The sequence below is a fragment of the Homo sapiens genome, chromosome 19, assembly GCF_000001405.40.
Source record: "Homo sapiens chromosome 19, GRCh38.p14 Primary Assembly".
NCBI lineage: Eukaryota > Metazoa > Chordata > Mammalia > Primates > Hominidae > Homo > Homo sapiens.
Genome location: NC_000019.10, coordinates 22,964,602 through 22,977,406, shown reverse-complemented (window position 1 = coordinate 22,977,406; position 12,805 = coordinate 22,964,602). Strand labels below are relative to the sequence as shown.

General features: G+C 33.0%; 1 protein-coding gene and 1 pseudogene across 1 annotated transcript in view; both read left to right on the top strand.

The window, feature by feature from the left end:
* The window catches only part of ZNF728 (zinc finger protein 728), a 28,294-nt gene extending 25,770 nt beyond the window's left edge, over positions 1–2,524 (top strand). Inside the window, exon 4 of the mRNA NM_001267716.2 lies at positions 297–2,524. Coding sequence (NP_001254645.1) covers positions 297–1,939 — 1,643 coding nt within the window. The 3' untranslated portion in view covers positions 1,940–2,524. The remainder of the gene's footprint in view (positions 1–296) is intronic.
* On the top strand, positions 6,491–6,885 carry VN1R89P (vomeronasal 1 receptor 89 pseudogene; annotated as a pseudogene).

Below are 12,805 nucleotides of genomic sequence, written 5' to 3'. Positions count from 1 at the left end.
ATTGAGGAGCAGAAAGAGTTGATTGGGTAAATTTAACAAACTTTTCTTTTTTTCTATGTGGCTCTTTGCATTGGGCTTAATTCAGACACTGTACACACTTAACTCATGTATAAATTATCTACATATGTATTTTGGTCTGTATGCTTTTATTACATTTATATGTCTGTGAAGAATTAGGGCCTGTGTCATACTGCAGTGTCATCTTGCTTATGTAGTTTGAATAATTTTATAGGTTAAATTTGGAAACTATATTTATCTAATAAGTGGACTAATTTGTTATTTTTATTTCTTTTCAGTTATATGTTCTCATTTTGCTCAAGACCTTTGGCCAGAGCAGGGCAGAGAAGATTCTTTCCAAAAAGTGATATTGAGAAGATATGAAAAATGTGGACATGAGAATTTACAGTTAAAAATTGGTTGTACCAATGTGGATGAGTGTAAGGTGCACAAAAAAGGTTATAATAAGCTTAACCAGAGTTTGACAACTACACAAAGCAAAGTATTTCAATGTGGCAAATATGCAAACATCTTTCATAAATGTTCAAATTCAAAAAGACATAAGATAAGGCATACTGGAAAGAAACTTTTGAAATGTAAAGAATATGTCAGATCATTTTGCATGCTTTCACACCTATCTCAACATAAAAGAATTTATACTAGAGAGAATTCCTACAAAAGTGAAGAACATGGCAAAGCCTTTAACTGGTCCTCAGCCCTTACTTATAAGAGAATTCATACTGGAGAGAAACCCTGCAAATGTGAAGAATGTGGCAAAGCCTTTAGTAAGTTCTCAATCCTTACTAAGCATAAGGTAATTCATACTGGAGAGAAACATTACAAATGTGAAGAATGTGGCAAAGCCTTCACCCGGTCCTCAAGCCTTATTGAACATAAGAGAAGTCATGCTGGAGAGAAACCCTACAAATGTGAAGAATGTGGCAAAGCCTTTAGTAAGGCCTCAACCCTTACTGCACATAAGACAATTCATGCTGGAGAGAAACCCTACAAATGTGAAGAATGTGGCAAAGCTTTCAACCGGTCCTCAAACCTTATGGAACATAAGAGAATTCATACTGGAGAGAAGCCCTGCAAATGTGAAGAATGTGGCAAAGCCTTTGGTAACTTCTCAACCCTTACTAAACATAAGGTAATTCATACTGGAGAGAAACCCTACAAATGTGAAGAATGTGGCAAAGCCTTCAGCTGGCCCTCAAGCCTTACTGAACACAAGAGAATTCATGCTGGAGACAAACCTTACAAATGTGAAGAATGTGGCAAAACCTTTAAGTGGTCCTCAACACTTACTAAACATAAGATAATTCATACTGGAGAGAAACCCTACAAATGTGAAGAATGTGGCAAAGCCTTTACTACATTTTCGAGCCTTACTAAACATAAAGTAATTCATACTGGAGAGAAACACTACAAATGTGAAGAATGTGGCAAAGTCTTCAGCTGGTCCTCAAGCCTTACTACACATAAGGCAATTCATGCTGGAGAGAAACTCTACAAATGTGAAGAATGTGGCAAAGCCTTTAAGTGGTCCTCAAACCTTATGGAACATAAGAGAATTCATACTGGAGAGAAACCCTACAAATGTGAAGAATGTGGCAAAGCCTTCAGTAAGGTTGCAAACCTTACTAAACATAAGGTAATTCATACTGGAGAGAAACAATACAAATGTGAAGAATGTGGCAAAGCCTTCATCTGGTCCTCAAGACTTAGTGAACATAAGAGAATTCATACTGGAGAGAAACCCTACAAATGTGAAGAATGTGGCAAAGCCTTTAGCTGGGTCTCAGTCCTTAACAAACATAAGAAAATTCATGCTGGAAAGAAATTCTACAAATGTGAAGAATGTGGTAAAGACTTCAACCAATCCTCACACCTTACTACTCATAAGAGAATTCATACTGGAGGAAAAACCCTACAAATGTGAAAAATGTGGCAAAGCTTTCAATTAGTTCTTAACCCTTACTGAACATAAGGGTATTTATACAGGAGGGAAACCCTACAAATGTGAAGAATGTGGCAAATTTTTTAACTGTTCCTCAATCCTTACTAAACATAAGGTAATTCATACTGGAGGGAATTCCTACAATTGTGTGGAATGTGGCAAAGCCTTTAATCAGTCCTTAAGGCTTACTACGTACAAGACAACTCATACTGGAGAGAAACCATACACGTGTGAAGAATGTGGGAAAGCCTCTAACAGATCCTCAATTCTTAACAGACATAAGCTAATTCATACTAGAGAGAAACTGCAAACCTGAAAGATGTGACAAGGCTTTTGGCAACACCTGAAACTTTTCTGAATATAAAAGAAATCATACTGGTGAGAAATCCTAGAAATGTGAAGAATGTGACAAAGCCTTTAAATGGCTGTCACACTTGATTGTAGGTAAGATATCTCATACTGGAGAAAACTACTAGAATAAACAATGTGGCAAAACATTTAACCAATGCTCATGCCTAATTGCAAAGGAAAGCATTTACACTAGCCTGGGCAACAGAGGGAGACTGTCTAGGGGAAAAAATGTGAATGTCATTAATATCTTCTCACATCTTATTCAGCATCAGAGAGTTCATACTAAATAAAAGCATTAAAAGTGCAGTTGCTGTCAATAGATCTTTCAGAAAATATAAGCCCTTAAAGTACAGAAGAATATTTATTTTGAGGAAACACATTATAAATATAAAGAGAGTTGTAGTACCTTTACGTGTATCACAGGTTTTATTGTACACATTTTGTACTACAGGAAAACCCTGAGGTAGTTGTTCCAACTTTGCTCAACATCAGGGAATTTATATTGAAGAATAACCCTGCAAATTTAATGAATTTGGAAAAACATTTTTTCAAAAACTACAGATTATAAAACACGAAAGTTTATACTAAAATATATGTTTGCAGATGAAGTAAATATTAAAAAATTTTAATCCAAAATTAAGTAAATATCAGAGAATTCACAGTAGAAATATCTGTCTCAAACTTCAGACATTACACTTAATCAGATTGCTGAGTATAGGAAAAAATCCAAAACTAAAGTTGGTAAAAAGAAAAATTATTTGTATGTAACTTTAAAAGAAGTAGATCTTTGAAGAGTTATAATTTCATTTAAAGTACACTTTTGTCTTGAAAATACAGATTTTTTTTTGTCAGACACAGTGGCTTACATCTGTAAGGCCAACACTTTGGGATGCCGAGGTGGGTAGATCACCTGAGTTCAAGACCAGCCTGGCCAACTTGGTGAAACCCCATGTCTACTAAAAGGAAATAAAAAAAATTAGCGAAGCATGGTGGTGTACATCTGTAGTCCCGGCTACTTGGGAGGCTGAGGCATGAGAATCACTTGAACCTGGGAGCCAGAGGTTGCAGTAAGCTGAGATGCTGCTACTGCATTGCAGCCTGGGTGACAGAGCAAGACTCTGTCTCAAAAGAAAAAAAAAACAGCTTATTTGGAAACTGAATAATGATGGAATTCAACTCTTAAATTACTTCACGCCTTTTTTTCATTTCTGTTGTATTCACATGTAAAAAAAATGTGATCAATTCTGCATCAAAGATTTGGGAGACTTTATTAGGCGGTCGTTATTTATTACCTTATGGATGACTAAGGACATTGAAATGTAAGATGCATGATGAAAATTTAAGTGGAAAGGCTGTTTGTGGTTAACTTACAGAATTGAGTGATGTAGGGCATTCCGAGTAATATTCTTTTTTTTTTTTTTTTTTTTTTTTTTTTGAGAGGGAATCTCACTCTGTTGCCCAGGCTGGAGTGCAGTGGCATAATCTCGGCTCACTATAAGCTCCTCCTCCCAGGTTCAAGCTATGCTCCTGTCTCCACCTCCCAAGTAGCTGAGATTACAGTTGCCCCTGACCACATCCAGCTAATATTTCTATTTTAGTAAAACAAGGTTTCACCATGTTGGCCAGGCTGTTCTTGAACTCTTGACCTCAAGTGATCTGCCTGCCTTGGCTTCTCAAAGTGCTGTGATTATAGGTGTGAGCTACTGTGCCCAGCCCTAAGTAATATTCTAATGCGTTATTATGAGAGAAAATCATTCTTATAGTTAAAATTAAATCAAAATAATTAGTATGTCATTTTACTAATTGTACTTTTATGTGATAAAACCACTTTTTTTTAAAGTTTTGGATTGTGTTAATTTTTCAATTCAACATTTATAATGTTAAATACTGTTATACATTCAATAAAGTGTTATTATGCCACTAGTTTTAACCTATTCCACCTTACTCAAGGGTATATTTAAAAGATGGTTACAATACACTATTTGGTAACATAATAGACTAACATCTCTAGTATTCTTCTTTTTTAGTGGCTTTAAACTACAAATAAGTTAAAGAATATGGTTCCTGTAGGTTAAATTTTTTTACATTTAAATTTATTTTTCTTAGTTTTTGTGTTTACATAATATGTGTATATATTTATGTCATATATGGCGTATTTTAATACAGTCATACATTATATAATGATCACATTGTGATAAATAAGGTAGCTATAACCTCTGGCTTTTATGTTTTGTATTACAAACAATTCAATTCTACAGTCTTAGTTATTCTAAGTTGTACAGTTAAATTATTATTGGCTACATGGTTATTTTTATGGTCATCATAAAAATTATATACAAGCGTAAATAAAATCATATATTTCTGAGTCCTGAATAATTTTCAAAAATTTTTTATGTATTTTTTGAACACGTGGCCTCTGCCTGAGAGCACACAATAGAGTTTTAGTTTTGACTTACATAGAGTTAAATATACACATCTATTAGTCTAAAGATATAACAGGTTTAAGGAGTAAGGGTGTTTGAATATAAGTTTGTAACTGTTTTCAGAAGAAAAGAGCAATATTGAAACAAAACAAAGCATTTTAATAAGATGTCTAATTTACTAGAAAACAAAAATCCTCAAAAATGCTAAAAGCAAATGTATATACTCTGCTTTGTATTCAGTTTATTACACTATCTAACAGCTTATCATTTAGAATCTTTCCATGAAAATTTTCTTTTTTTACTTGCATGATACTCATGCTAGACCCATAATCTTTTTTTTTTTTTAGACCAAGTTTCGTTCTTGTTGCCCAGGCTCAAGTGCAATAGCGTGGTCTCGGCTCACTGCAACCTCCGCCTCCTGGGCTCAAGCAATTCTCCTGCCTCAGCCTCCTGAGTAACTGGGATTACAGGCATGTGCCACCACACCCAGCTAATTTTTGCATTTTTAGTAGAGATGGGGTTTCACTATGTTGGCCAGGTTGGTCTCAAACTCCTGACCTCAGGTGATCCACCCATCTCAGCCTCCCAAAGTGCTGGGATTACAGGCGTGAGCCACCACACCCGGCCTAGACCCACAATCTTTTTGTTTCTTATTTTTTTGTTTTATAGTTTATGAAATATTTATCTGAGCTGATTTGAGTTATAAGAATATTTTTTATAAAATTTCATCATGCACACAAAATTATTTTTAGATATAATTCCACAATTTGTGTATTGTTACATTTTATTTAGTTAAAACATTCCATTAGCTTCTATGGGAGAACCCTATATAAGCTTACTTTTCTTAAGTTATTGTTCCCTTTTTATAAGTGACATAAGTAAATTTTATTTATTGAGTCAATTTGTTTCAGTAAGTACTAGGGAAGCTTCATAAGTCATGTGGATGCTTTTATATATAAATATAGCAAACAAACATGACAGTGCTCAGTGTGTAACAGATGCTCCATATTTTGTCATAAACATTCCTGCTAAAGTTAGTTTATAACTTCAAGTCAGAGATGGAAAATATCAATTGCAAAGACATAACATTGATTCTTCATGTGAAGAGAACATTTTTTCCAGGCTGCAAAGCTGAATCTTGCTGAATTTAAAGAGAAATGCTTCATTCATGTCCTAATTATCTAAGTTTTGTCTTTTTATGTGCATTCAAACCATATATGCATCACAGTCCTTCTTTTTCTGTGGTATGGCTACAGTTTTCTCACTGTTGTTTTCATGCCATGTGATTCACAAGGTATGTTGTAGGTTTTAAGGAGAGCATTGGTATTTTTTCATGTACTGAAACATTGGTTTTAACTGGAAGGTTTGCATACGAATACAACTTTAAGATTGGCTAATTAACATAAAAGACATACACTGCCTACCGAAGAGAGGATTAAATCAGCATGGTGTTTCTTTGTAAAAGAAAAATGTTAGGTTTTTATACAAAGTGTGGCAAATATGTAATTTGCTAGAACAAACATAAAAATTAAATTTTTAAGAGAATAGTAAGTGAGCAATTTAAAATTTATTTAGGATGTACTTACAGCACAACTTACATTTCCATGCAAAATCCTCTGTTTTAAAGTGTGAATGTTAAAGGTTGCAAAGCAATAAAATGACCTCTGTACATTTGGAATAATATTTATTTTCCATATTGATATTACGATTTGGAGACATTTATCACTCTTTTTTTAATGTTTTAGTGGTTGAAGTTTAGTCTACAGTTTATATTCTTAGTCACCTAACTAGCGATCTCCTAGGTTTTCTCTGAAAACTTTTGGAGATAATGGCAGCTTTTGGATTAAAACATTTCCTGTTAGTTTGCATGCAAACCAGTTTACTGTGATCACACAGTGGCCAGTCATGGGAGCATAAGCAAGCCTTCCGTTTTCGTGTCTTTCATACTATCACCATAAGCACCAGTAACTCCAAGTGCCCCAAGCTTAAAATAAAAGCCCTAAAGTTATTGGCTTCTCCCATGCACTGTGCTGGGTTCAGAACATGCTGTTAAACATCAAAGTTCCTATGGTTATGACTGACAAATGAGAAAACAGCAAAGAGACAGACAGTATTTGAAACATTGTTATCCTTCTATAGTGTCTTAAAAATATATTTTTAACTTGACAAATAAAATGTGTATTTCTTTTGTTAACATTTTGAAGTATATATACATTATCAAATGCTTAGTTCTAGGTAATTAATGCTTTATCTTGTTAACATTTTTGTGGTTAGACCACATGAAATTGTAAGCATTTTTCAAAAATACAAATACATTATGAACTATAGTCACCATGCTGTACAATAAATCTCTTGAAATTATTTCTTTTATCCAAGTATAATTATGTATTCCTTGACAGACATCTTTCAATGCCCCCATTTCTTCTAAATACCTTGGCATTTGGTGGTCACCATTTTACTCTCTACATCGATGAGATTAACTTTTTCAGAATCCATGTGTAAGTGAACTCATGAGACATTTAATCTTTCTGTGCCTTGCTTATTTCAACTAATAAAATGTCCTCTAGGGTAATCCATGTGATTGAAAATAATAGAATTTTTGTTGTTTAAAGATGAATATTATTCCATTGTGTATATCTACCACATTGTCTTTATTTACTCATTAGATGTTGAACTGTTGATTTTATGTATTTTACGTGTGAAGAGTGCTGCGAACAACCTAGAAGTGCAAATGTTTCTTCATTCTAATTTCCTTTGTTTTGGATATACAGTGGTGCAATTGTCATATGGTAGTTCTATTTTTAAGTTTTTTAAGAAAACTCTATTTTTCATAATGGCTGTCCTCACTTACATTCAAACAAATAGTGTGCAAGCATTTTCTTTTCTTCAGAATTCTACCAACACTTTTTCTTCTTAATTAGAGTCATTCTAACAGAAGTGAGTTGATATCTCATAGTTCTTTTTTTGCTTGCCTTTCCTGATAATAATTTACATTGAGCATTTTTAAAATATATCTGTTGGTCATATGTATGTGTTTTTCTGAAAAATATTTAAGCCTTTTTCTCATTTTTAATATTTGTTTTTTATTGTATAGTCATTTGAGTTTGTTATATGGTTTTGATATTAATCCCTTGTCACATTTATGATTTGCAAATATTTTCTTCCATTTTTTAGTTGCCTCATCCTGTTGATTGTATTATATTCCGTGCAGCAGTTTTTAAATTTAAAATAATCTGATTCATCTATTTTTTCAATTTGCTCCTTGGGATTTGAGGTCAAATTCTAAAAGTGACTGCCCAACCAATGTTACAGGGCTTTCAGTCTATGTTTTTTATAGTAGTTTCAGAGTTTTAGACCTTACATTTAAGTATCTAATTTATTTTGTGTTTTTATTTTAAGTATCTAATTTGTTTATATATGGTGTGAGTTGAGGGTCTTATTATATTCCTCTACATGTGGATATAAAGTTTTCTCAACACCATTTATTGAAGATACTGCCTTTTCCCTAAGAAATTGCCACCTTTATTTAAAAATCAGATGGCTGTAAATACATCAATATAAACATCAAGATATTTCTGGTCTCCTTTTTCTTCTCTACTTGCCTGTGTGTCTGTTTTTATTCAAGTACCATACTTTTTTGTTTGTTTGTTTGTTTACTATAGCTTTTTAGTATATTTCAGTTCAGTCCGGTAGAGTGATACCTTCACTTTTTCTATTGCTTGGTTGCTTTGGCTATTCAGGGCCTTTTCTGGTATCCTGTAAATTTTAGATATATTTTTAAAAATTTGTCAGTTATGTCTCTGGTATTTTGGTAGAGGTTGCATTATAGCTGTACATAATTTTGTATAATACAGATGTTTAACAATATTAATGCCAACTTATGAAAGTAATATTTTTCCAATTGTGTATTTCTTTAATTTCATTTAAAGATAGTTGTCAATGTATAGAAATTCTATGGACACTTGGATGTTGCTTTTGTATTCTGCAAGTTTAATAAATTTGTTTATTAGTCCTACTAATTTTTAGTAATAGGCTTTTGTTTACTTAAAATTGTGTATAGAAATGAAAAATTACACAGGAATAATTTAACATTTTTTCTAATCTCAGTGCTTTGATTTTACTTACTAATTTTTCTGTCTTGGATAGTTCATACTATGTCTAATAAGACTGAAAAAAGTGGGCATTTTTGTCTTCTTGCTCTTAGAGTAAAAGCTTACAAGATTTCCCTGTTTAGTATGTTATTAGCTGTGCTTTTTATATGTGTGTTATATGTGACATTTATTGGCTTGAGGTTTATTTGTCCTATACCTACTTTTTTCAGAAATTTATGAAGAAATGTTGAATTTTGTTAAACTCTTATTCTGCATTTATTTAAATGTTAGAGATGAGAAATCACATCTAATTCTACATAGATTTAAAAATATCCTCAGAGACTTCTATGAACATGCATGCAAAGTAGAAAATTTAGAGAAAACAAACTCCCAGATACACAAAACTTCCCAATATTGACAGAAAATAACAGAAGTCTTTAACAGAGCAAAAATGTAAAATGTATAGTGACCTTGAACAAGTAATAATAAAACTACTAACCATAAAAAGCCCTGGATCATATGAAATCACAGCCAAGTTTTACTACATATACAAAGATAAGCTGGTCCTAATCCTACTGAATGTATTCCAAAAAATCAAGGTGGCATTTCAATCTAACTAATTATATGAAATCAGTGAAATATATGAAACTAAAATCTAGTGAAGACATAACAAAAAAAGGAAACTACAGGTCAATATTCTGGGTGAACATTGGAACAATAATCCATGAAATTCTAGCAAACTGAATTCAAAAGCAAATCCAAGTTATTTTGCTACAATCACGTGAGCTTTATTCCATAAAAACAAAGGTGTTTCATCATAGGCAAGTCAATTAGTGTGATTCACCATGTAAAGATAATTAAAAGAAAAAAATATTTAACACAATAGGTGCAGAAAAAGCATCCAAGAAAATGCAATATTGACAAAAATATTATCAATACACTAGACACTGATGAAACATACCTCAAAATAATGTCATCTGTGACAAATCCTTAGCCAACATGATACTAAAACAAAAACTGGATGCATTCTCCATAAGAATAAAAATAAGAATATCCATTCTAAACAGTCCTACTGAACATAGTTATGGAGTCGTAGCCAGAGAAATAAAAGGAATCTGAATAGAAAACGAAGTCAAATTATCTTTACTGATGATATAATTCTCTACCAAGAATACTTTAAAGATTTCACCGAAAGACTCCTAAGCCTAAAGACTTCAAAAAAATCTCAGAATACAAAATCAACCCAAATGCATAGAATTTCTGTACACCAATAAACTGAGAACAAAATAAAAAACAGCTCTATTTACAATAGCCACAAAAAAAAATACCTAGAAATACATTAAATCAAGGGGGTAAAATATCTCTACAGAGAACTACAAAACATTGCTGAAAGAAATGAGAGAGAATGCAAATAAATGGAAAAATACTGGATGCTCATGGATTCAAATAATATAGTTAAAATGGTCATTCTGCCTAAAGCAACCTACGGATTAAGTGCTATTTTTATCAGACTATCTATGATGCTTTTTTATAGAATTAGAAAAAGAAAATATTCCAAAATATATACAAGAGAATTAAAGAGCTCAAATAGCCAAGACTGCTTCAGACTAAAAGAATAAATCTGTGTCGAGCGTGATGGCTCACACCTGTCATCTTTGGGAGGCTAAGGTGGATGGATCACCTGAGGTCAGAAGTTTGACACCAGCCTGGCCAACACGGTGAAACCAGTGTCTACTAAATACAAAAAATTAGCCAGGTGTGGTGGTGCGTGCCTGTAATCTCAGCTGCTTGGGAGGCTGAGGCAAGAGAACTACTTGAACCTGGGAGGTGGAGGTTGCAGTGAGCCAAGATTGCAGCAGAGTAGCCAGTATAACATGGTTCTGGTACAAAAATATACATATAGACCAATGAAATAGGAGAGAGTCCTGAGCTAAGCTACACTTTACAACCAGGTTATTTTTACAAAGCCAACAGAAATAAAAGGGGAATTAACTCCCTATTCAGTAAATAATACTGGGAAAACTGGTTAGTTGTATGTGGAAGAAAACTGAACTACCTTTTTCTATATAAAAAAATAACAGATTAAAGACTTTATCTGTGGGTCTTCAAGCTACAAAAATCTTGGGAGAACACTTAGAAAATATTGGCCTCTGGAAAGAATTTATGACTAACATCTAACATGAGTGCAACAAAAATAAAAATTGAAAATGGCATCTAATTCAGCCAAAGAGCTTCTGCACAGTAAAAGAAACTACCAACAAAGTAAACAGATGACCTACAGTATGAAATAAAATATTTGCAAACTGCAGAAAATAAAGGATTAATATATGAATCTATAAAACATTTAATAAAAAAGCAAATGATATAAATAGCTAGCTTCTCAAAGGAAGACAGAGCTACCAATAAACATAAAAATTGCTCAACATTCCTAATTATCAGAAAGATGTAAATCAGGGTGACAGTGCAATACCATTTCACACCAGTAAGAATGACTGTTATTAAAAGCAAGATAAGATTTGAAGTTGTGGAGAAAAGGAAATCTTTCTACACTGTTGATGGGAATGCAAATTGATTCAGCCCTGTGCAAAGCAGTTTGGAAACTTCTCAAAGAACTAAAAATACAATTGCCATTTGACCAATTAACCCCATTACTGGGGATCTGCCCCGAAAAAATAATTTTCCCAAAGAGACACCAGCACTCACATGTTAATTGCAACACTATTCACAATAGTAAAAACAGAATTAAACCAGTTACCCATGAATCTTTTATTGGTTAAGAAAAAATGATGTACTTATACAACCTCCAATACTATGCAGCAACAGAAGAGCATGAAGTAACATCTTTTGCAGCAACATGAATGCAGCAGAAGGCCATTCTAAGCAAATTAATGCATCAGAAAAACAAATGCCACATGTTCTCACTCATACATGGACGCTAAAAATTGGGTGCACATGGAAACAAAGATGAAAACAAGAAACACTGGGAATTCTAAAGAGAAGGAGGAAGGAAGGGAGACAAGCATTGAAAATCTGGTTAGGTATGATGTATACTACTTGGGCAATGGAATAATTAAGTGTCCAAACCTCAACATCATATAGTATACATGTTTTACAAATCTGCACATGTACCCCTTAGATATAAAATAAAAACAAAATGTTTTTGGTATAATGAAATGTTCTATTTTTCCAGCTCTGGGTTAATAGTTGAAATTAAGAGTGAAAGACAAATTTTCACCTCTTAAGGCGTGGGGTGAATGTTTCTATACCAGGTCTCCTCACATGTTATAAGCTAACCTCTCTGAAAACTCTTGGGCTATAGTCCAAAAAGTGTTTCATTTTCAAGTGTGCAGCTAAAACACATTACACCTTTATTATTTATGAATTAAATGTACTCTAGACTTATAGACTTCATTTGTTACTCTACTCTTTTTGGGGAAAAAGTGGTAAGTAGTGGTTTAATCATTTTTTTCAGAATGAACTATTTTTGAAAGTGTGAGACAAAAAATTATGCTAAATTACTGAATTAGAAATATAAAACATTTTTTCTAAAAAAAAAAAAAAGCACAAAAGTCTTATGGTCGTATTCCAAAAATAATTAAACAGAAAGTGGAGGTTAAGACCACAGTGCTGCAAATGCTCATTCCATCACAATCATTCTTGTGAAAAATAGAAATAATGGGTCAGAAGGTATTTTTAGAGTACTTTTCTTATGCTATTGCTGTGAAATTATTGTCTTTTTTACTTTCCATATGAAAGTCTGTACTTGAACAAAAGATGCCATGAATTTCAAGTGAATATGCTCACACATTTATTCTCCCTAGAAGGGCACTGATGTGTTTGCAGTCAAAGCGTGGCCTTTCTTGCCTTACTTGTGCTGCTGTGTTTGTGTGAAATAAAAAGGCAGCAAGTAAAGAAGAATCAACCATGACATTTCTAATTTCAACAGTCACAGCCTCTGTAATTGAGTGTTAATGTCACCTAGA